The sequence below is a fragment of the Homo sapiens genome, chromosome X (assembly GCF_000001405.40).
Source record: "Homo sapiens chromosome X, GRCh38.p14 Primary Assembly".
Classification (NCBI taxonomy): domain Eukaryota; kingdom Metazoa; phylum Chordata; class Mammalia; order Primates; family Hominidae; genus Homo; species Homo sapiens.
Genome location: NC_000023.11, coordinates 122,005,258 through 122,031,519, shown reverse-complemented (window position 1 = coordinate 122,031,519; position 26,262 = coordinate 122,005,258). Strand labels below are relative to the sequence as shown.

The window sequence follows — 26,262 nt, the reverse complement described above, 5'->3', positions numbered from 1 at the left end:
AGAAAATGTGGTATATATACACACCATGGAATACTACTCAGCCATAAAAAGGAACAAAATCATGTATCTTGCAGCAACTTGGATGGAGTTGAAAGCTGTTATTCTAGATGAAGTAACAGGAGTGAAAATCTAAAGCCATATGTTCTCACTTTTAAATTGGAGCTAAGCTATCAGAACACAAAGGCGTAAGAATGATATAATGGACTTTAGAGACCCAGAAGGAGGAGGGTAGGAGTGGGACTATGGAAAAAAACTACCTGTTAGGTACAATGTACACTTCTCGGTGATGGGTGCACTAAAATCTCAGAATTCACCACTCCATAATTCATTCACGCAACAACAAAAAAACACTTGTACCCCAAAAGCTATTAAAATACAAATATTTTAAAATTTAAAAAATAAGTTATTTCAAGGTCCAGCCAGATTTAAGGCAAGAATTAACATTTAGTTAGATTGGATCCTCCTATTTATTATTATTTCTATTCATAATACATTCATAACATTATTCCTGTTTTATAAAAGAGAAAACAGAATGATGTATTGATAAATAAGCTAATGTATATAACCTGCCCATAGTCACACAGCTAATGAATATTTGAAACAGTATTTAAACTTAGATTTGTCTGATTTCAAAACCACTTTCTTCATACTATTCCATACACTCTCACCTTAACATTGGCAATAGCTCAGGAAGGTAAAAAGTAAAACAATAATATGAATAGCTAACATCTTGAAAGCTGTGTGCCAGGTAGTGAACTAAGCACTTCCCATGTATTATTTCAACTTAACTAATTTTAAAGTTTTAGAAACCAAGAAACAGAGGGCTTAAGTAATATGTTCAAGGTCTCATAGTAAGTGAGCAACCAGGATTTGAACTTAGGCTCTGTGATTCCAGAGTCTACTTTTTAAAGCTTTATGACATATTCAAACAGAAGAGTATCATAAATATGTTAGCTCGATTTTGGTATTCAAAGTCAGGATGCCCCTAGACCTTCATTCAACTAGGATGTAAATGCCCAATTAGGAAGTTGTGTTCATACTTTAAATTTATTGTATTGGTTTTGCTCCTAACACTCCACGAGAAGATACTCCAATACCCAGCAAAGGGGAGTAGAGAGGGTTTTGTTCATGGATAATGCCATTTGGCAAAGGGGTATCTCCTGCAGCATCCAGTGCCTGTTTTGAAGGGGCAACATCTGGCTTAGAGCCCAAGGTAATATTCTGGACTCAAGTATGTAAATTTATGCCACACGGCCCTAGATTAAATCACCAACATCATCTGAACTGGTTCATTTTATGTATTATTCCCTAGCATGGCCTTTGTTGTCTCACAGAGCTCCTACATAACTAACCAACTCCATATTCTTTCCTCTCTTTGATTCTTCAAGGGAAAAAACCCACAGCAGTAAGTTGCATATATTTGTTCCCAAGCTTGTGATATGCCTGAAGGATTTCAAGTACTGTTCAGTTCTCTAGAAATCCAATTCACATACATAAAAATAAGATACAAAAGATCAGATCCCTTGATATATTAATCGAGTAGTGGTTTTACCTGTAATTACGCTTGCTGTAGAAAGGTCAGGGTTTGAAATGGTACAATAGATTGACCACTCCTCCACTTATACACTACTCATTTATAAGGTTTGTGTCAGAGAGGGAAAAAAAGGCCTGATATCTGTGTTCTCAGTGTCCTACATTCCATCTGACCTTGCCACTAAGGAATTATTCCTCAGGGGATACCCCCGCATCTGAGGCATGTCTAAATCAGGCACGAGGTGATGAGGCAAAGCCCCTGCTCTGGTCAATAGCTCTCTACATGCAGGAGTGGATAAACTATGGCTTTTGGGACAAAACCAGCCTGCTGGTTGTTTTTGTAAATAACATTTTATTGCAACACAGCCACACCTATCACTTTATATATTAACTGTAGCTGCTTTTCCATTGCAACAGCAGAATTTAGTAGCTTAACTAAGAATGCATATCCTGAAAAATTGAACATGTTTACTATCTGGCTATTTACAAAAAAAAATGTCAATTCCTGGTCTACAGCAATAACTGTCTTGGAGTCTACAAATGAACACACATTAACCAATATAAACAAATGTTCATCAGGTGCCTTCTGTTCCCCTCCACCTTCCTGTTGCTCTCTCTCCATCTTCACTGAAGCACCCAAAAAGAAGATGCCCCATAAAACGTAATGTGGAGTTTTTATCTACAACCATCTGATTTTTGACAAACCTGACAAAAACAAGCAATGGGGAAAGGATTCTCTATTTAATAAAGGGTGTTGGGAAAACTGGCTAGATATATGCAGAAAACTGAAACTAGACCCCTCCCTTGCACCTTATACAAAAATTAACTCAAGATGAATTAAAGACTTAAACATAAGACCTAAAACCATAAAAACCCTAGAAGAAAACCTAGGCCATACCATTCAGGACATAGGCATGGGCAAAGACTTCATGACAAAAACACCAAAAGTAATGGCAGCAAAAGCCAAAATTGACAAATGGGATCTAATTAAACTAAAGAGCTTCTGCACAGCAAAAGAAACTATCATCAGAGTGAACATGCAACCTACAGAATGGGAGAAAATTTTTGCAATCTATCCACCTGACAAAGGGCTAATATCCAGAATCTACAAAGAACCTAAACAAATTTACAAGAAAAAAAAATCCCATCAAAAAGTAGGTGAAGGATATAAAGAGACACTTCTCAAAAGAAGACATTTGTGCTGCCAACAAACGTATGAAAAAAAGCTCATCATCACTGGTCATTAAAGAAATGCAAATCAAAACCACAATGAGATACCATCTCATGCCAGTTAGAATGGCGATCATTAAAAAGTCAGGAAACAACAGATGCTGGAGAGGATACGGAGAAATAGAAACACTTTTACACTGTTTGTGGGAGTGTAAATTAGTTCAACCATTGTGGAAGACAGTGTGGCGATTCCTCAAGGATCTAGAACCAGAACTACCATTTGACCCAGCCATCCCATTACTGGGTATATACCCAAAGGATTATAAATCATTCTACTATAAAGATACATGCACACGTATGTTTATTGTGGCACTATTCACAATAGCAAAGACTTGGAACCAAACCAAATGCCCATGAATGATAGACTGGATAAAGAAAATATGGCACATATACACCATGGAATACTATGCAGCCATAAAAAAGGATGAGTTCATGTCCTTTGCAGGGACATGGATGAAGCTGGAAACCCTCATTCTCAGCAAACTAATACAAGAACAGAAAACCAAACACCACAAGTTCTCACGCCTAAGTGGGAGCTGAACAATGAGAGCACATGGACACAGGGAGGGGAACATCACACACCTGGGCCTGTTCGGGAGTGGGGGGCTAGGGGAGAGATAGCATTAGGAGAAATACCTAATGTAGGTGACGGGTTGATGGGTGCAGCAAACCACAATGGCACATGTATACCTCTGTAACAAACCTGCACGTTCTGCACATGTACCCCAGAACTTAAAGTATAATTTTAAAAAAATTGTAATGTGGAGTTTTTAAGGGAACATGTGATCTCAATAAGTGGAAGAAAGAATGAGATGCTAGAAAAACTTCAGAATATTGAGCACTTAGTTAGTAGGGCTGAATTGAAAGGAGGAAAAACTTAGGAGGTTTCAAGTAGCATAAGGGCACTTAGGATATTGGGAGAGAGGATTATTTGGAGCATGACAGGCTTCTAGTGCCTATTTTAAAGTTTTACTAGAAACTTCATGACTCATACACAGCATATATGAAGTTAAAAAAACTTCTTATTTGGACCATGTATTTCTTCATGCATGCGTTCATTTATTCAATATAGTTTTGAGCCAGGCACTAGGTTAGGTGCTGAGAACACAACAGTGAATAATCAGTGCTGTTATTGTTTTAATGCTGGCTACAGATTAGTAGGAAAAACAGGAAATAGAAGAATAGTCACAAAACTATATAATTCTGATTAGCACCACACAGGAAAATAAAGGATATTCTAAGAGTGTATAATAAGAAATACTGATCAAGATTGGGAGCTTTAGGGTGGGATATCAATAAAAACAATATTGATTAAAAACATTTAAGCTGAGACCTGAAGGGCAGATAGCAGTTTATATGAATATCACTTTCTCCAATCCCTATTCTTGCTTGGTTAGAATAAGACTGCTATAGGTAGGAATTGGGCATCTTCAAGGATCTGAAAGAAAACCAGATTTCTTAGGAAGAGTGAAAGAATCATTACATTAAGTATGTAAGTAGAATCCAAATCACATTGGATTTTGCAAGCTCTAGATTTTTATTCCATTGATACAACTTATAAGCAGTAGAGCATCATGGTTTTATTTATAGCTGTCTTCTATCACTCCAGCAAGAAGGTAGAAAATAGACTGAAAAGAATGAGAGGCCAGAGTTTATATAGGCACGAGACTTACGGGCTCTGGCAATGACTTCTGATACTTCCCTTTCAATCATCTTTTCTTCTCTATAATCTGTACTCTTTCGCCTACTTTTTCTTCTTCCTGGACTTCCTCTCTTCCTCTCTAAATTGTCCACTGGCTTTGGATTTCAGCTCTCAAGCTTATGCTATTAGTTTTACTGCTTAGCAAACAAATGGGCTCTGGAAGACTGGCCTGGAAAGCTAAATACCACTTAAACTGTTGAAACATAAGTTGTATGCCAGGCTGTTTGTCTGCAAGAGTAAATACCTTCTGTTTGAAGGTTGGAGAACATTTGTACTACAGGTCTTGGCTCAGCAGGTGCCCAATACTAGGTTATTGACAGGCAATGGACTCTGCCTTGCCATACAAATGGAAAAATAACAGATAGGTTCAACTCAAGGACAAAAGATAAAGGCTGTGTGTGTGTGTGTACACCCGTTAGGCCTCCTCCTTCTTTCAACTGAATTATAACACTCAATCTCCTGTCCATCACTTAATACCCATACCCTGGGCTTTCTGAATTTATCCTCTCTTATTCTCCTTTTCTCCCTTTCTTATTTGTTGTTTGTTTCATAGCATTTCTCTTCTTAAGGAACAAGATGCTTTATCACTAGCTAAATAATTTTGTTTTCAGCAAGCAGATGGAAAAGGAATCTGTTGGTACCAGGGTACTTCCAAGCTCACTATGTATGGAACTACCTACTTGGACTATATGAAAGCCTGACCTGTGCAAACGTTTACAATTACAGACTGAAACACCACAGCCTACTATGATTGTATTAAAGTAGCCTGTAGGCCCCATATGTTATTGCTGCCCTTCACCAAAAGTGTAGCCTAGCTCTTGTGTCACAGTAAACATATCTTGAATGGTTGTGATGGAAATTTCCATTTAACAAAGATTTCTAAGATTTTAGTGATGCCCTACTTGTTTCGAGAAATATACATCTGTAAAACTTTCTTTTTCTTCCACCTGGGAACCAAGGAGTAGGGTAACAGTGAACATTCTGTTAGGTGTAGGCCCTCCACATTTCTGTCCTGCTGTTTCTTACTTTACAAGATGTCTTTCCTCTTATCTGCTTTGATGCTTGATGGTAAGTCCCATGGCCACAATGAGAAGGAAAATGAGTATACAACCACAAAACAACCTCTGCATTTTCCTGGAGCTTCTGAGGGATTTACAGTTGAGGTACTCAATTTGCAGGTGAGATATCCAGGTGCCTCTTAATGCAGCAGGTCCCCCAGTGGCTCTGGGTAATTTGATATCTCTCTGTTCTTGCTCTACTTGTGTTCTGATCTAGCCTGAACCTGGAGCTGTTGCTGATTCTACCTCTAGGTCCATGGCACTTCCATCACTCCTTTTGGCAATGAAGCCTACACTACTCTTTTGTCTGAACTTGCTTCTAAATTTTGGCCTTATTCCAGCTTGTTTCTCCCCTACCAGCTTCCTTTTTGTGTTACATATCTTGAACAGTGTCTGGCCTTTTTACTGTTCCACAGATACAGTTTCTTCTATTGAAGATGAGTATCTTCTTAAAGAGTAAGGCAGCATGTCATAGCCACACACTCCTAGGTAATGATGCTGGTCCTTAGAAAGATTAATGCCTAACATATGGGGTTTTATATATGAAATAAGCCAACCAAGTGAAAGTGTCTAGTAAGAAAATAGAGGGAAACAAATATTTTTCATCCCTTACTTTGGGAGCTGCTATGAGATTTCCATATATGATCTAATTTAAATCTCATGAGAACATTATTAGAAAGCCACAGTTAGCCCCATTTTAATGATAAAGACATGAGCTTAACAGAATCTAGAGGTAGCTCATCCAAGGTCCCAAGGCTATAAATGTGTCTGATACAATGTTCTGGCTCTTAACCATTACATTGTATTGTTTCTATGCCTATTAAAAATAGGAAAATGAAGAAATACTTGAAAAGGTAAAACCAGCCATTTTTACTTAAGAGAATCATGTAATTACAAGTGTTCAAAAGAGGCAATTTTGAATGCTTAGCCCTCTGTATATGGTGTGCTGGCTGTGGATTATCAAACAACTGGTTAGATAAGGCAAGAATAAAACTTCCTCTCAACAACTAAGATTCTATGATGTTTCACATGACAAATATTTATCCCTTTGCTGGACTGAGTAAGGGCACAAGCTAAATGGAGTTATAAATAATCAGCTTTATCTGTAATAAGTCTAGATTTAAAAACTAGATTTGTTTCTAAAGCTAAAATTTGGCCTCCTACTCCCTCACTACAAACCAATTTTTGAGATAACTAGCTTCTAGTAAAAGGTAGACATACTTTAGTAGTTCAGTTGAATAAATTAGAAAAATGACAAAATAGTAGCTGGGTTTGCAGGAGGAAGCCACCAGAACTGACAGTCCAAGACAGGAAAAAGAAGAGAGAGAGACCAAAGAGCTTTCAATAAGCTTGCCTTGTTTTTTCTACACATTTATTTTGTTTTTTGGATAAAACGCAATCCTTGAGAAGGAGAGTGTAGGAATGGAGAGAGAAACTGGAAATATTCTCCCCTAAACTCCTCTCCGTAACTCCCTTCCTCAATCAAATAGAAACAAAATCCCCTTTCTATGAACTCATAGGCACAAGAAAGATGAAAAAGAGTCCTCCTCCTAGGCAATTATAAAGATGTACTTTGTTGATGAGGCAGCAGAGTAGAAGTTAAACTTATATCTCTAGTTAAATTTTTAGGGCTTGAATCCTGGCCTTGATAATTGCTCTGTAACACTGAGCAAGTCATTTAATCTCTCTGTGCGTCAATTTCCTTAAACACAAAATGATAATTACAGGAAAGGATTTGGGAACATGATGACAATAGCAGCACAGGTTTTGAATCTCTAAATTCTCAGAAATAAACATAACAGCTAGATATCAAATTGAAAACTCATGCGCAACACTTGCAACAAAGTAGGTAACAAGATATTACCACGATCCCAAAATACAAGCATATGAGCATGATTGATACCAACATGGTAAGAACAGCATGATATCAAGAATTGTGCAGAATAAAGCAAAAGGAAACAGCAGGGCATTTGATTAACCTAAGAACACATAGAAAAAAAAAAAACGTTCACTAGAAATACAGCTGACTTGAACTGAGAATAGCAGCTGAAACTGGTTGGGAATAGAAGAAAGTAAAGATATAATATAGATGATGTTAAGTAAAAACGATGTAGCCCTGAATTGGAATTGAAAGTACACATATGAACTCATGAGGTATTATCTCTGTCTAGCTACATATCTAACTATCTCCTCCAGCTCTATCCATGGAAAACACTAGAAACATTAAACAAGAAGCAATAAGCACTCTAACATTCACATTGTGGACTTGAAACACCATGTTCCATCAAAAGAAAAGCATTTTAAATAATTGGCTGTTTCCAGGTCAGGCACATATTATCATATAAAATAGTGAGTATGCTACAAAGAACTATTAGGGTCATGTTAAAAGAACTCACAGACTAATTTGAAGCCAAATTTATTAAACAAGTATGGGAAAGTGAGCCTCAAAAAGGATTACAGTAGGGGCATTATGACAGCAAAATGTCATTATTGGCAGGTCCAAGCTCTCGTTCCCCCACAGAAAAATATTTTTAAAAAATTTAAAAAGTAGAATTTATCAGTCAAAGATTTAGAACAACTAAGAAAACAGTGAATCAAGAAAAGGGCAATTTCATAACATAAAACTTTGTGGCATTTTTAGTAGCCCTTGGCATGCTCTCTCTACTATGGTAATAATCTTGAAGAAGGAAGCCTGCATTCCCAGTGTGTGAGACTGATTTCAGGATATAAAGGGAGCAGAACAGGCTTCATTCACAAGTTATTGTATATGCCTGTTCTAACCTTCCTGGAGAATACTTGAGGAATAGACACAAGATAATCATACCTGTTTCCCTTAACTTAGAGGTCAGGCTGAAAAAATGACAGGCTTTGCAAAAACATTCTGCAAGCTAGAATATCCAGGAAAAATCTGGAGCAAAATATTATGGAAAAAACATACAATAGTCCACCCAAGTATATTCCACCCAAAAGAGGAGAGACTTTTGGGGAATCAGTACATTTAAAAGGACCTGTGTAATCAGAAGAATCGATATCATTAAAAAGACCATATTGCCCCCCAAAAATCTATAGATTCAATGTGATTGCTATCAAAATAACAACAACATTTTTCAAAGAATTAGGAAAACAATTCTGAAATTTATATGGAATCAAAAAAGAGCTCGAATAGCCAAAACAATCCTAAGCACAAAGAACAAAGCTGAAGGCATCGTATTACCTGACTTCAAATTATACTATAAGGCTATAGTAACCAAAATGATGTGACACTGATATAAAAATGGACACATAAATCTATGGAACAGAATAGACAACCCAGAAATAAAGCCACATACCTACAGCTAACTGATATTTGACCAAGTCTACAAAAACATATACTGAGGAAAAGACACCCCATTCAACAAATGATGCCAGGAAAATTGGATTGACACATTCAGAAAAATGAAACTGGGCCCCCTATCTTTTACCATATACAAAAATGAACTCAAGGTGGATTAAAGACTTAAATATAATACCTGGAACTATAAAAATATTAGAAGAAAACCTAGGTAATACTCTTCTGGACATTAACTTTGGCAAATAATTCATGATTAAGACCTCAAAAGCAAATGAAACAAAACAAAAATAGGCAACGGTAACTTAATTAAACTAAAAAGCTTCTGCACAGCAAAGGAAATCATCAACAGAGTGAACAGACAAGCTGCAGAATTAGAGAAAATATTTGCAAACCATGCACCCATCAAAGCACTAATACCCAGAATCTACAGGGAACTCAAAATATCTCAACAACAACAACAAAAACATCCAAGGAATCCCATTAAAAAGTGGGCGAAGGACATGAACAGACATTTTTCATAAGAAGAAATACAAATGGCCAAGAAGCATATGAAATAGTGCTCAACATCACTATTCATCAGAGAAGTGTAAATTAAAACCACAATGAAATACCGCCTTCTACCATTCAGAATGACTATTATTGAAAACCCAAAAAATAACAGATGTTGGTGAGGATACAGAAGAAAGGGAACCTTTATACTCTATTGTTGGGAATGTAAATTAGTATAAACTCTATGGAAAACAGTATGGAAATTTCTCAAAGAACTAAAAATTGAACTACCATTTGATCTCACTACTAAAAAGACCCACTTCTCTTCGTCTTTGTAGATTTGCTTTGTACAGAAGCACTCCTTCCAAACAATAATCCCACTACTGGATATCTACTCAAAAGAAAAAGAATCATTATATATTAAATATATGCACTGTTGTATGTTTATTGCAGCACTATTCACGATAGTAAAAATATAGAACTGATCTAAGTGATCATTAATTAATGATTGGGTAAAGAAAATGTGATATATATATATATGTATATAATGAAATACTACTCAACCATAAAAAAGAGTGATATGTCTTTTGCAGCAACGTGGATGGAACTAAAGGTCATTATTTTATGTGATATAACTCAAGAACAGAAAGGCAAATACTGCATGTTCTCATTTATGAGTGGGAGCTAAATAATGTGTATACACATGTATAGAAAGTGGAATAATAGACATGGGAGACTTGGAAGAGTGGGAGGATGGGAAAAAAATGAAGGTTGATAAGTTATTTAATGGATACGATGTACACTAGTTGGATAATGGTTATAGTAAAAGCCCAGACTTCACCATTAGGGAATATATCCATGTAACTAAACCACTCTTGTCTCCACTACATCTATAAAGAAAAATTTAAAATTAAAAAACATATATATAAAAGACCCATATATACAGGGAAATTTAGAAAGCCACATGCATGCAGAGAAAAGACCTGAGATGATGCTATGCTATCAACTAAGACTGATCCTTAAGGTCAGTTCAATAATGGTTAAATATGGAAGAAGTGCTTTTGTACAAAGCAAATCTACAAAGACTAATAGAAGTGAGACTTTTTAGTCTGTTTCTTGTTCTTTGGATCTTTTTAGCTCTTGGCATTCAAGGAACTATCTGTCAAATGTTAAGGAAACACATACATAAGGAAGTAACTTACACATAGCAATGAATATAGAATTTACAAAATAGTTTGGGAAAGTCACTAAACAAAAGGACTACTAGCCTTCCACAACAACAACAAAACAAAACAGTAAACCCTGGGGAAGGGGGATAATCTGATTTCCAGAGTTACCACATTATAATATTCAAATGTTCAGCATTTAACCCCCACCCCCGCCCCCCAAAAAAAACCAAAGGTATACAAACAGACAGCGAAGTATGGCCTATTTAAAGAAATAAAATAAAGAAACTATACCTGAGGAAGTCTAGACATTGAACTTACTAGAAAATTGCTTTAAAACAACTGTCTTAAATATATTCAAAGAGCTAAAGGAAACATAGGCAAAGAACTAAAGAAAATAGGGGAAACAATATATAACAAAGTGAAAATATAATAAAGGGATAGAAATTATGAAAAAAACAAATTCTGGAGCTGAAAATTATGAAAACTAAAATCAAAAATTCATGAGAGTGGTTCAACAGCAAACCGGAGCAGACAGAGGAAAGAATAAGTGAATTTGAAGATAGTACAGTTAAAATTATTGACTCCAAGGAGAAAGATAAAAGAACAAAGTAATGTGAACCAAGCTTAAAGAGTCTTGTGTAACACCATCAAGTGGGGCAACATATACAGTTTAGAAGTTCCAGAAGGAGAAGAGAGAAAGACAGGAAGAAATAATATTATGAATAAATAACGGCTAAAAACTTCCCATATTTCATGAGATATGAATCTATAAAGCTAAGGTAAATAAACTTCAAGTAGCATGAACTCAAAGAGACCCACATTACCATATTATAATCAAACTGGTGAAAGACAAACAGAGAATCGTAAATACAGCAGGAGAGAAGTGAAACATCACATACAAGGGATTACCAACATGATAAGCACCATATTTCTCATGTAAAACTGTGGAAGCCCCAAAAAACAACTGTCAACCAAGAATTCTATAACTGTCAAAACTATCCTTCAAAAACAAAAGAGAAATGAAGACTTCCCCTGATTTTAAAAGCTTGAAGTAACTTCATACCACTAGAAAGACTCTAAAAGAAATACTAAAGGGATTCCTTCAGCAGAATACACTACAACTCAACAACAACAACAACAATTCTCTGTTTAAAAATGGGCAAATTATTTGAATAGACATTTCTCCAAAGAAGATATTTGACTGGCCAATAAGGACATGAAAAGATGCCCAAGAACACTAATTATTAATAAAATGCAAATCAAAACCAAAATATAATACAAGTTCACACCCATTAGAGTGGTTATTACCCAAAACAAAAGAGAAAATGACAAATATTGACAGGATGTGGAAAAACTGAAACTCTTGTTGGTGGGGATGTGCAATTGTGCAGCTACTGTGGGAAACATTATGGTGGTTCCTCAAAAAATTAAGCATAGAATTATCTTATGATCCAGTGACTCTACATTTAGGTATATATACAAAAGATTTAAAAGGAACTTGAACAAATATTTATACACCAATGTTCATAGCAGCATTATTCACAATAGCCAAAATCTGGAAACAGCCTGAATGTCTATTGATGAATGAATAGATTTTTTAAATGTGATATATACACACAATATAATATTATTTTGTCTAAAAAATAAATTATAATATACACTACAATATGGGTAAACCTTCAACACATTATGTTAAATGAAATTAGGCAGGCACAAAAAGACAAATATTGTATAATTCCACTTATACGAGTTTCCTAGAATATTAAATTCACAGAGACACAAAGGAGAATAGTGGTTACCAGCAATTGTTGGTAGTGGGGAATAGAGAATTATTTAATAGGTACAGATTTTTAGTTTGGGGTAATGACAGTTCTGGAGATGGATAGTGGTGACAGTCGCACAACAATGTGAATGTTCTTAATATCACCAAATTGTACACGTGAAAACAGTTAAAATGGTAGATTTTATGTCATATGTATTCTACCAGAATAAAAATTTAAAGATAAATAGATACATAGACAGAGAGATAATAGACACATAGATAGATAGATAGATAGATAGATAGATAGATAGATAATAGATAACAGACAACAAAAGATAAATAAGAGGGTATGATAGAAATGACAAGTAAGCCAAGGGTCAGAAAGTTCAAGCCCACATTTGAGAACATTCAGGAAAGCACTTTAAAATGATGTATATGTAACCAAGTTTATACCCTATTCTTTCCTACTTTCTTATTAAATTATCTATGAATATATAGAAAAAGTAAAAAAAAATTCATAATAATGAAAAAACACTGAAAATGAATATCAGAATTTGGAAGGAAGGTCTACTAAATAAAAGATCCAAGGAGTTGAACAAAGGTTAACAACCAGCGGCTGAAACATGAGTTTCTACTTGAAACGGCAAACTCGGGCTTAAAGTTGATAAGGTGCTTTCAGTCAGGCAATAGGCACCAAAACAAATATCCAAGGTCAGTTAGGATATTTATATCTAGTCCTCTACTACTCAAGTACCAATCTTGAGTAAGACAAAATATGATGCACAGGCCACACACCTAGTACCTCTCCTTGGCAGTATGGTTTTCACAACTATAATGATGTACATCAAATAAGAAATGTGAAGAGCACAGGTAGTAGTGAAGACTTGTAGATACAATTTTTCATTTTTATGTTTGTGTTTTTCCTATCCCAGTGTCAGAAAATAAGTGGTAGAAAATTGCAGAGCTGCACAATGTAAATGTATCTGTTACTTCAGAAGTTGAATTAGGAAACAACCACACAAATCTTTCTCCCAGTTTAAAGTCCAAGGATAGGGATGCCATGTTTTTTTTTATTTCGTGTGCATTAGCTTGTTTATTTTAACTACTTTAAAAATGAGAAAATGTTGTGAAATGGTTGTATGAAGTGGTATACCTATCTCTCAATTGTAATAACTGCTTCTGAGCCAGGTATTTGCTCTTTTAGAAGAGAGTTTCAGTTTTATTTATTGGTATTTATGATTCAGACTATCTGGCAGTCTTCTCCCAGTGGCCACTAAGTAGGTCCAAGGAGAGAAAAGAGAAAACATTTACAAGCAGCCCATGGAAAAGTGCTAAAGATTCTCTATGCTTTGATTCTTCAATACAATTTTAAAAAGAAACAGTCTTTTAGGCTCAAGCTTATGGCATCACAGAGAAAATATTTAATGAGCCAGGCATGGTGGCATGTACCTGTAGTGCTGGCTACTTAGGAAATTGAGGCAGAAGGATCACCTGAGCCCAGGAGTTTGAGGCGGTAGTGTCCTATGATTGTGCTTGTGAATAGCCACTGCACTCCAACCTGGACGACATACTGAGACCCTGTCTCTTTAAAATAATGTTTAAGTATAATTAAAAAAAACACAGAGAAACAGAAAGATATAGGTAACAAAAACAATACAAGGAGATGCAAATGTGCCAGTGGTTAAAAAGAACAGAAATCCAAAAAAAACAAAAACTGACATAAATGTGTGATATGAAGAAAATCTATTATTGTGTCTTTACCCTGCATTCTTCAAAATTAAGAATGAGTATAAAACAAAGCAAAGTATAAATCAGTAAATAAGCATGGAAAATGGAAATTGAAACTATAAAGTTTAGGTGTCCTAAAGAGGGAACAAAACTATTTGAAATGAATAACTAAATATCAGAAATGAAATTCTCTGGATCTAAGGAAACAATGCTTAAGAATAGGAAGAAAAATGTCAACTTTTGTTCTGGATAAATTAATAGAAAAATAGGCCTGTATGTAGACATAAACTAGTAAAATTTTGGATTTAAATATACATAAAACATCCTAATATATTCAAGCAAATAAAATTGGGTTACTCTTCCAGATATACCAACCTGATTTTTACTCCTTTCTTAAAATAATGGCATAAGAAGATACATATTTTAACAAAAAAATGTATTTTCAAACCATTACCCTTGACCATTCTATGTTGTTGCCCCCAAACAGAACACATTAACTGAAGTACGCACAAATCTGCTGTGGAAATTGGGCAAATATGCTTTATAGATGGCACAAACAACAAGAAATTTATCTTTGAAATAAGTAAAGTTGGCCTTACCAAAAAATTTGAGCTTTCATCTACTCAAACCTTTGCCCTGAAAAAACAGTGTGGGATCACAAGAATTATTCTGATCTCGGAAAAACCACTAATAACTCCAATAATAAGAAGATGTGAGTTTTGGTATTTTATAAGTTGGAGAACATGTTGCTGGGACCTTTTTAGCCTCACACAACCTGATTAGAAACAGCTACACCAAGAACTTTAAGGACAAATATGGCCACAACAAATACAAATCATTTGCTATCTCCCTAGAATAGCTGTTTCTTGAAATAGTAGATAACTTCCCTAACCTGTAGAACTGTTTTTATTTTCTGTTTTATTTGTTTGCTTTATGACCTTCTTTAACTTTATCCTCACTATTGTATTATGAAAGAATTCCAGTATTCAGAAAAAATTGAAGAATTTTGCAGTGCACAACTGTATATCTGCCTAAATTATATAATTACCATTTTACTATTATTTTTTTAATTTTCAAACTTAAGGTATACTTTAAATATAGTAAAATGTATCCTTTTTGGCATTTAGTTATGCCAGCTTTGTCAAACACCTTCAGTTATATAATACCCGCCACAATCAAGAAATAGAACTTTATTTTATCCTTTAAATTCCCCCATACCCATTTGTATTCTATCCCTATCCCCCCACTCTCAGATCCTAGCAATCATTGGTCTGTTTTCTATCTTGAGGGTTACCAAATTTAACAAAGAAAAATACACGTTTTCGAGAATACTTATACTATTTTAAATAATTTATCTGAAATTCAAATTTAACGGAGTATTCTATATTTTATTCAGCAGCCTTTCCGTACTTATCATTTTGGTGCCCTATTAAAAAAAATATGCGGCCAAACCCAAACTTCAAATACATTTGTTCCTGTGTTTTCTTCCATAAGATTTATCGTTTTCTATTTTACTATTAGGGCTATAGTCCAATTTTAATTTTGCATAAGGCATGAGATTTATGTTAAGGTTCCTTTTTTCTTTTTTTGAATGGTAATGTCTAATTGTTTCAGCATATTTTCTTTAAAATATTATTATTTCTCCATTTAATTGCCTTTGCACCTTTGTCAGAAATCAAATGGTCATATCTCTGTGGGTCTAATTCTGATCTCTCTGTTCTGTTCCCTTGATCTTTTTTTTTTTTTAATCAATGCCACACTGTTTTGATTACTTCAGCTTTAGAGAAAGTTTTGAAATTATGTATTGTTCAAAATGTTTGAACATTTCTAGTACATTTGCCTTTTCATATGAATTGTAGGGTTAGTATTTTTTAAATTTTTGAACAGAGATCCTGTAGGGATTTTGATTGACATTAATTTGACTCTATAGGTTTATTTGGAGGAGAGTTTCCATCTTCATCACAATTAGTCTTTGAGTTAATGAATAAAGTATATCTCCTCATTTATTGGGTCTTTAGAATCATTTTTAATATATCAGCAATAGCATATATAACTAAAATTAGATATATTACCAACTATACAAAATAAAATAATTATTAGAGAATAATATGAACAATTGTACCCCAAAAATTAGGTAGACTAGATGAAATAGAAAACTTAGAAATGAAGAACTTACCTAAACTGACTCAATAAAAAGCAGAAAAACTCAACAGGTCTTTAACAATATATATATTGAATCAGTAATTAAAAACCTATGAAAAATTTAAAAAACAAATAACACAAATTCTTCTCAAACTCTTGCAAAATATAGAGCAGAAACCACTTCCTAACTCATTATATGAGGTTAGCCTTGCCTTGATTCCAAAGCCAGAAAAAGATATCAGAACAAAATAAATTTACAGACAAATATTTCTTATGAAGTTAAATGCAAAAATTCTCAAGAAAATACTAACAAATGGATTCCAACAGCATATTTAAAGGATTATACACCATTACCAAATGGGATTTAACCCAGGTATACAAGGGTAGTTCAACATAAGTAAATCAATCAATGTAATATACTACATTAGTAGAACAAAAGAAAAAAAAAAACACATGATCTTCTCCTTGGTGCACAAAAGGCATTTGACGCAATCCAATATACTATCAAGACAAAAGCACACATAAACTAGGATGTGGGTAGTGATGACGGTTATGCAACATTGTGAATATAATTAATACCACTGAATTGAATTGTACACATAAAATGATTAAAATTGCATAACTTAAGATGTCACAACTGAAAATTTAAAACAAACATTACAATGAATTAGAACGATTAAATACGTTAAATCCGTGAGTACATATTTATATTCGAAGATAAGTGACTTGTTCAACTTTGGAGCTTCACCCTTATTTTATGTTGAAATAGGTAAATAAAGGAAAAGATGAAGCATTTATCCTGCCACTTCTTTATGAATTTTACCCCTCCATAATGAATTAGGAGATGAAGTGATGCATCTGTTTATAAGTAAACAAGTGATAGTAGAATTAGAACTTTTGCCATTTTCAATCGTAATGAATTACTCAGTCTAGACAGTTCGCATTAGTAGCTGCAACATCACAAATAGAGAACCAAATGTCATGTTCTTTATGATTAAAAAACACAACACCACCTACAGTTTTACTAAAAAGATCAAAACTGAGTCTAACCTGAGCTAGACTTCAGGTCCAGCCTCCAATTTGCAGAAAAGACTAAAGACAGAAAAATGTGCTTAATTACATCATGAGTATACAGTATATTCTTCGGATCCTCCACCAAATAAGTTTTAATAAAAGCAAAGGTTTACAGGAAAAACATATTGATTAAATAAAATTTATAAAAATGTTTCATAAAAATTGATAACTCTAAATAAATATAAGGAAGCTGCTACTATAAAAGTAAGATAGGTGTTATTTTAGAGGGAGAGGGGAGAAGTTTTTGAAGGGACAGCAAAATTGGAAGGATTTATGGGGTTGGTGGTATGATTCTGTTTCCTAACTTGGGTTGGGTACACAGGAGTTTGACTTATAATAAGTCACCATACTATATATACCTTCAGTGCATTTTCATAATTCATTTCATTTCGCAATAACATATTACAAATAAATTATTTACAGAGAGAAATGTATTCACAACATTTTTGAAGTGGCAATATTAATGGTACTACCTTAAGGGAGGAAGTTGTAAGAGTTAAGTAAGAGTATATATAAAGCACTTTGATATGACTGACATGTTTAGAATTCTATTATTATTATGGCCCATCTTATTTATTATTCCAAAATTAATAGTTAAGTCTATATATAGTTATATTAACAATTTAAACACATTTGCTACCTCATAATTAGCACAACCATAGAGGTAATATATTCATCCTTATATTAAGCTATAAAATATACACTGTATATAAATACATAATGTATATACTGTATATATACTGTATATAAAATAACAGTACATATTTTGCACATATTTGGGCAAAAGCTAGGGACATGACTAGCTTTTGCCCAAATATGGGCAAAATATGTACTTTTAAAGTACAGTCATATACCACTTAATGATGGGGATATGTTCTGAGATATCTGTCCTCAGGCAATTTGGTTGTTGTGCAAACATCATAGAGTATATTTTACAACCTAGATGGTATAGCCTACTCTACACCTAGGCTATATAATATAGCCAATTGCTCCTAGGCTAAAAAAGAGTGCAACATGTTACTGTTCTGAATATGGTAGGCAATTATAACGCAATAGTAAGTGTTAGTGTATTTAAAAACATCTAAACATAGAAAAGGTACAGCAAAAATATGCAATAAAAGATTTTTAAAAGTACACCTGTATAGAGCACTTACTGTATAATAGGGCTTGCAAGATTGGTAGCTGCTGTAGGTAAGTTGTTGAGTGATTAGTGACTTTGTGAAGGCCTGCACTGTACACTTAGGCTACACTAAATCTATAAAAGAATGTTTTTCTTCCTTCAATCTTAGGTTAATTGTAACTTTTTTCCTTTATAAACATTTTTTTGAGACAAGGTTTTACTCTGTCATCCAGGCTGGAGTGCAGTAGTGTGATCGTGGCTTACAGCAGCCTCTACTTCCCAGGTCAAGTGATCCTCCCACCTCACCCACAGGAGTAGCTGGAACTACAGTCCCAAACCACCATGACCAGCTAATTTTTAATTTTTTCGTAGAGACAAGGTTTCACTATGTTTCCCAGGCTGGTCTCGAACTCCCGAACTCAAGCCATTCACCTGCCTCAGCCTCCCAAAGTGCTGGGATAAGAGGTGTGAGCCACTGTGCCCAGCCTATAAACTTTTTAACTCTTTTATATTAACAATTAAGAAATACAAACACATTATACACCTGTACAAAATACATTCTTTCATTAATCTTATTTTATAAGCTTTTTCTATTTTTAGTTTTTTTTTCAACTTCCTAAAAGTTTTGTTAAAAAGTAGGACATAAACACACATTAGCCAAGGCTTACACAGAGTCAGGATCGTAAGTATTATTGCCTTCCACCTCCTCATCTTGTCCCACTGGAAGGTCTTCAAGGACCATAACACACATGGAGCTGTCATCTCCTATGACAGCAATGTCTTCTTCTGGAATAACTCCTGAAGAACCTGCCTGAGGCTGTTTTACAGTTAACTTTTTTTTTTAAATAAGTAGAAGGAGTACACTCTAAAATAATGTTTAAAATTATAGTAAATGCAGGCTGGGCACTGCGGCTTACGCCTGTAATCCCAGCACTTTAGGAGGCCAAGGCAGGCAGATCATTTGAGGTCAGGAGTTCGAGACTAGCCTAGGCAACATGGAAAAACCCCATCTCTACTAAAAGTGCAAAAATTAGCTGGGCATGGTAGCTAATACCTGTAGTCCCAGCTACTCAGGAGGCTGAGACAGAAGAATCATTTGAACCTGGGAAGTGAACAGGTTCAAACTTTTCAGTGAGCAGAGATTGAACCACTGCACTCTAGCCTGGGCGACAGAGCAAGACTGTCTCAAAAAAAACCAAATATAGTAAATACATAAACCAGTAACATAATTATTTATCATCATTATCAAGTATTAATATTATGTACTATACATACTTGTATAATATGTGTTCTATTTTTATACAACTGGCAGCAGAGTAGGTTTTTTACACCATCATCACCACTTGTGAGTAATGCGTTGTGCTACAACTTTAGGACAACTATGACTGACATCACTAGGCAATAAGAATTTTTAAGCCCCATCATAATCCTATGGGATCACTGTGATATATGCCGTCTGTCATTGACTGACGCCTCATTATGCAGCACATGTCTGTATCTGTTTTGCGATAATAATGGTGAGTTAGGACAGCAATGCAAGATGGCAGCCACCACGGGCTCAGAATGTTTATGAAAACCAAATATACAGCGTTAAAATAAAATATGGATCTAAATCATTCCCTTTTGTAAAATTTGTAACAAAATTTAATATGAATGGAGTCAATAGTTCTTTTTTTTTAATTTCAATAGGTTTTCGCAAAACAGGTGATGTTTGGTTACGTGAATAAGTTCTTTAGTGGTGATTCCTGAGATTTCGGTGCACCCATTACCTGAGCAGTGTACACTGTACCCAGTATGTAATCTTTTATCCCTCACCTCACTCCCACCCTTTCCTCGAAGTCCCCAAAGTCCATCATATTATTCTTTTGCCTTTGATCCTCATAGCTTAGCTCCCACTTATGAGTGACAACATACAATGTTTGATTTTCCATTCCTGAGTCACTTCACTTAGAATAATGGTCTCCAATTCCATCGAGGTTACTGCAGATGCTATTATTTTGTTCTTTTCATGATTGAGTAATACATATATATATATATCTCACAATCAATAGTTCTAACGGAGTAGTGGACCCAAGAGCCATATCAATGCTATCAAAATGGCAAAATTCATGTTGTATTAAAGTTTTCCTGCAAGAGCTGTGGCACCTAATGATGTCTAAAGAAAATATGAAACTCCCTCAGCCAACTGAAGGTCTGTGTTACAGCAATTAATCAAAAATAAAAGAACACAGAGCTTCCTCCTTCCCCCCACCTTTCAATTAAGGAGTCTTCATTTTCCACAGTAGTAAATTTTCTAGATATGTCTTGTAGACCTCAAAGTACTGGAAAGGGAATTCCTATTCAAAGGAAATTTACCTTAAGATACTGTAAGTGACACTAAATTTTTGTCCATTTCAAATACATAAGTTGTTCTATAACAAATCATCTTGTCAAGTGTAACCACTGTCCACGTAGTTGAACTTCTGGAATGAATACAATATATTTAAATTGTTCCCATCATAACTAGCGGGACACATCTAACTCAACTGTGAAAAGACATATTACACAATCACGTTGTTGCTAATTACATGGCCTGAGATCTCTGCCTTTTCTTGCTAGCCCTCACCCCTGCTTCTCACCTTCCCTGCAATAGCCCTCTAGCCTGGGGCTTTGTTAGATTAGATTAGATGTGAAGGTTTCAGGTCACAGCCTGTGGGACTAATGGTGGGTGTGTGGGGTGCTTCAGATGCATCCCTGCTATCTTCCTTTAAGTCTTAAATGATGCCCCCTCCAAGCTATATGTCCTGTCCCTACATTCCTCCACTTCCACTCTTGGCCAAAGCATAGATTGTAACCCCTCTGATCCCCTCTGAGATTGGCCATCAATGAGTAATTTAGTGCTTTCCCCATATCTTTTCTTCCCCACCTTTATGGAGAGGTGCTGCTTTTTTCTCCCTCTTCCTCAAGTTCCTTTTTGTACCATCACTACACAATGCTTTCCATGACACTTCCTTGCTTTGACCAGAAGCCATCAGGTAAGGTTGCAAAGACTCTCTAACTGCTCTGGTTACATTTTGGAACTGCATTTATTCACTCTCCATCAGCCTAAGAAATGCATATTGAGTCCTCAGCTCAATCACCCTCTGCTGTCATCATCAGCTGATGGGTTTTTTTAGCTCAGGTTTTGATAAGGTGAAAATTACAGTCACCAAGTTTATTCAGAACTCTCAGCTGTCAGAGTCCTTGGTGGTTAAACTTGGAAAAAGGCCACATGAAGATATGTGTAAGCACACATGATCCCTCTGAAGTATTTTCTTTTTCTGTAATTGCTTTTGCTTCTAAAAATTGGATAAGTATTAAACAGGACTTTCTTTTGGTCATCCTTGCAGTCCATTGTGGCCTAGTCTGGAATCTGACAACTGGAACAAAAAGAACTTTAAATTTGGCGCATACTTTGGTTTTGGTGCTGCTGCTTCACGAGCTCCTCAGCAGGGGTTTAACAAATAACTTGGTGTGCCCAGCAGATCATTGTTGGTGGGCTTGACTTCCCGGCAAATTGTTGTATTTCTCCACTTTCTGTTTAGGACTACTAAATGCTGAAATATGGACGAGTACAGAAATAAAAGTAATTCATTGTGTAAAAAATAAATAGTGGTGACTTGGAAAATTAATTCAATTTTAATTATAAAGCAAGGGACACCGAGCAAGGTACTTTGCCATTTACAAACTGTGTAAAATTTTGTGTGCAAGACATAACTATTCTGTTAAGCCACTGAAATTTGGGGGACTTATAGCAGAATTGTCTTAACTGAGACATGTGAGCAAGTTATTTAACATCTTTGTGTGTCAGTTTACTCCTATAAAATGGTTAATAATCCTTACCTCATAGGGCTATTTTAAAAATTAAAATAATCTGTTCAAGAGTATTGAACAATGCCTAGCACCTAAGGCTCTCACTGTTATTAATGACCTTCTGGCTGTTTTTGTCAGAATTGGCTCAAGGACTGGGCACTTCTAATACTTTTGTTGGTGGAAAATTCTCAGAACTGCAGCTGATTGGGATTGGGGCAGACAAAGACTGGCACACCTGGGTTTTGGTCACCTTATTATATTGCTTAATTTTTCTCTGTGGTGACCGCACATTCAAAAACACCTCAACCCTTTTCCTTTCCTGCTCTACTCCTTAATTATGTGTGTTGCTCAGTAATTTACGGGTTTTTTTTTTTCCCAGTTAACCACAGGAGTCCTGTCATGTGCAAAGTAGATCCTTCTAGAAGCAATTCAGAAGTTAATAATTCCAATAATATTAACCTGTGAGAATGCACTGTTTGACTGAGGCTGTGTGGCTATTCCCTTAAATGTCACTTGCTGCTTGCAATATGCTGGGAAGGATGCTTTGTTATAACTTGGCCTGCTTTCTGTGCTTTCTTTGTGGTCCCGTAGGTGAAATAGGTCATACTCTCAAAGTAATTAATTATGGCTAAAATGAAGAATTGTATCTTTGTAGACTGAACTCCTAGAAAATGGAAATATGAGGACATTGTCCTCTCTGGATGAATTTGCTTATATTTAAAACTTTTTAAACTGTGTATCCCTGAAAAAAATAATTGAGTTTCACAGCTATGAACTGGAGAGTCACGTGGCTTTTCCATTTTGAAAACAAACAAAGGTTAAGAGGAGTGCCAAGAAGTAAATACTCCAAATTCTATTACCATGCGGTTTCAAAGGACATGACTAAGGTTCACCTTAACATCCATCTGGAGTTGAGGAGGCTTTTGTATAGGTTAACATTCCAGGGGTTCAAAATGTGACTTTCAAAATAGTCCCTGTCCTAGCTAGGCATGGTGGCATGTGCCTGTAATCCCAGCTACTGGGGAGGCTGAGGTGGGAGGATTACTCAAGCTTAGGAGTTCAAGACCAGCCTGGGAAGCATAGTAGGAGCCCATCTCAACAACAAAAAAATAATAATAATAATTGGCTCTTCCTGTTGTAAATTGCAAGAAGCACAGGTAGCAGATATCAGAGGAGGGTTCTAATACAGTCTTCTCCATTACTAGCTGTGTACTCTTGAACAGGTCACTCATAATTCTCAGTATAAAACAATTCCACAGACATGTATTGAACCCTAAATGTGCCAGACATTATGTCAGGTGTTGTTAAAGTGACAAAGATAAATTAGATATGGTCCACTTCTTTCTTCTATTACACAAGTAAGGAGATGGAAGCCACTGGACTACAAGATTTCCAAATTCCTTCTCAATCCAGAAAAGCTTTGGTTCAACCAAGCCCTATGATTCATATATATTTCATTATTATACATTTCAAACTGAGTATTTTCAGGTTGCAGAAGTTTGGATGGGTTTTCTTATTTTTCCCAATGATCTGTCACTTCTGAAATTCCAAGGGAAAGGCATCAGATACAGCCTTTTTTCAAATTTGGGCTGCTATAGGCACCTTTCCTTCTCTACAGTATTTCAGCTGAAACACAGGATGAATGGCTTATTTCAGTCCCAAATCCAAAAGGCCATCATTTGTCTTAATAAGGTTATTGTAGTTAAGGTGGTTCACTACCTTCTTAAAACCTATCAGACTTTACTAACAAGGACTGCTTGCTAAGGTGACAGTCAGTGATGTGCCGAGTGGAAGAACAGGTTAACCTGCTGTGAAATTCCTTAATTTAGGTGCTTCAATAAGCAAAAAAAAAAAAAAAAAAAAAAAAAAAAAAGTATGCTACAGCAACCTCAACAGAAAAATAGAAGAGAGAACATTTTCCCACATACTCTGGACTCTGAGAGGAGTAAAAGGAGAGGCTAAAATAAGCAGGTTTTATGTTACTAAAGGAGAAAGTGAAGCTTGAGGTTTGGGAATACTTGATAAAAAATCAAATAGTATTTGTGAAAGGCAAGAAGACACAAGGTCAGCTAATGGCTGGGTTCATCCATCCTCTCTCTATTGAGTAGGCCTCTTTCCCAGGGAAGATCCCAACTATATCCTAAATATCTCAAGAGCTGATATCACAGTAACTGAAATATGAGGATGTTGATGATGATGATGTTTGCTCATCTCTTAAATGGAGAATCATAATAATGGTACCTATTTCATAGGATTGTTGTGAGGATAAAACGAGTTAATATGTGAAAGTGTTCTTGGAATACAATAGCAGTATACTTATTTGTGCAGAAAAAAAAAAGAATGCCACCAGTTACAAACTGAAGTAGACTACTCTTTTCATGGTTTTATTCTGACAGTGTTTGTCACACACATTTGAATATGCATATACCTGTGCAGACTTTACAGTATGGTTGAATTGATGAGAGTATAGATGTGCTTGAGTGTACATGGGTGGGCTTAAGGCATATATGCATTTATGGGAGGGAATATATGTGTACTCGGTATCAGCATTACATTGTACTTGGAAATGATTAAATATTGCATTGAATAGTTTTGTTTAATTTTCCTGATTCATTAAAATTGTTTTCAGTCTCTTTTCCTATACATCCAGATGCCATCTATTTGACCTCTTCCACTCCTCTTTCTAATGCCCTTCCCAATATGCTAATATTCTTATCCTTTTGTATAACACTAAAGCATTTGCCATAAAAGAGACTGCCTGTCTTATTTTCCATGTACTAAATTTTAAAAAACTTCTGAAAGTAGCTGGCTTCCTGGTTGATTATTCTCACTAGCACAATGTCCTGAAGACCTCTTTCTACTGTGCTGGACTGATGCATAGAAAATACAGACTTTTAATACCTCTTCCTGCCTGCTAATGTAGTTATTTACCAGACTTGAAGATACTTCCTCTGTTTATCAGGATGTCAAATGGGGTCCAGACAGAAATCTAATAAGCATTTCCACTGTCTTGGAATTTATACATGACAATGAAACTCTAAGTCCAAATGAAAATCGGGGCATCCATAATAATTATGTGTAAGTTAGTTTCCCCCGACCCCATCAGTACAAAGATAACATGTCAAAGTTCCGCCAACCCAAGGAAACATCAGACTATTTTAGGCGACTTAAAAGAAGGATAGAAATTTTCTTTTTACCTTGGCCATTACTGACTTATTTAATCTGTATGGGTTTTTTTTTTTTCTAAATAATGTAGCTACATTGTAACAGAGGGCTTCAATGTTTTTGCTTGTTTTGTTTGTTCTTAAGCCCTTCAAGATTCATGGGACCATGATGAACTCTTAGAGTTTCTTACCTCTCCCTCAAGTAATACCACTTGGGATTGGATACATCTAGGTGGAATAACAGTAGTAAAATTTAGTGACAAAATGCCAAAAGTGAGTTTTAGGCATCTCAAGTTATTGTTTCATTAACATAAAGTCCTGTCATTCAAAGAAAAATACATCTTTGTGTACAAAATGTCAAGATTAGCCTAGACTAGAGACACTATGTGTAGTTTTAGCATTCATATTGATATAATATATTATACATAATTATTTATATATCTAAATATATATAAACAAGTATACCATATTTATATGTGTCATATTTATATAAATATATAAAATGTGCTAACCAAGACACACTGCACTCAAAGAGTCTGCCCTATTAAACATCAAAATCAGCAAAGATAATATAAATTATTATCCTGCTATATATTTCTTCCATTTTCCTCCCCCCAAGCCTTCCTCCCATCCTCCTTTAATCAAACATTTACACACCACTTGTTGTGTAACAGGCACTGCGCTAACTGCTACTTATAGGGGTTACAGTGAAAAGTATATTCCTTGCACTCAAAGAGCTCACAGTCTACATCCATGCACCTCCTCACTACAGATATTAACTGATTGTTGGGAAACTTTATTATAGCATCAAACACAGGTTGGTAAAAGGGCGCAGAGAAGTAACACTTAGTCCAAATTAAAAATACAACTGAAAAGTCAAAAAACAGTTTGATCTTTTTTGTCTCTCATAGTTGAGGTACTGATTTAAG

At 35.2% G+C, this 26,262-nt stretch overlaps 1 protein-coding gene across 1 annotated transcript; it reads left to right on the top strand.

The window, feature by feature from the left end:
• Nucleotides 1-1,135: 1,135 nt before the first annotated feature.
• UBE2V1P16 (UBE2V1 pseudogene 16) lies at nt 1,136-20,549 on the top strand. The gene is made up of 3 exons (XM_047442709.1): nt 1,136-1,213; nt 19,865-19,997; nt 20,383-20,549. The coding sequence occupies exons 1-3, from the start codon at nt 1,136-1,138 to the stop codon at nt 20,547-20,549; spliced, it is 378 nt and encodes a 125-aa protein (XP_047298665.1).
• The last annotated feature ends 5,713 nt before the right edge of the window (nt 20,550-26,262 follow it).

Bases quoted from the DNA above. Each gene is read 5' to 3' on its own strand.
- UBE2V1P16 (XM_047442709.1), top strand. From the start codon at position 1,136: ATGCCATTTGGCAAAGGGGTATCTCCTGCAGCATCCAGTGCCTGTTTT. The intron at 1,214-19,864 runs GTAATATTCTGG...ATGGTGAGTTAG, and splicing joins CATCTGGCTTAGAGCCCAAG to GACAGCAATGCAAGATGGCA. The intron at 19,998-20,382 runs TCAATAGTTCTT...TATATCTCACAA, and splicing joins AAAATTTAATATGAATGGAG to TCAATAGTTCTAACGGAGTA.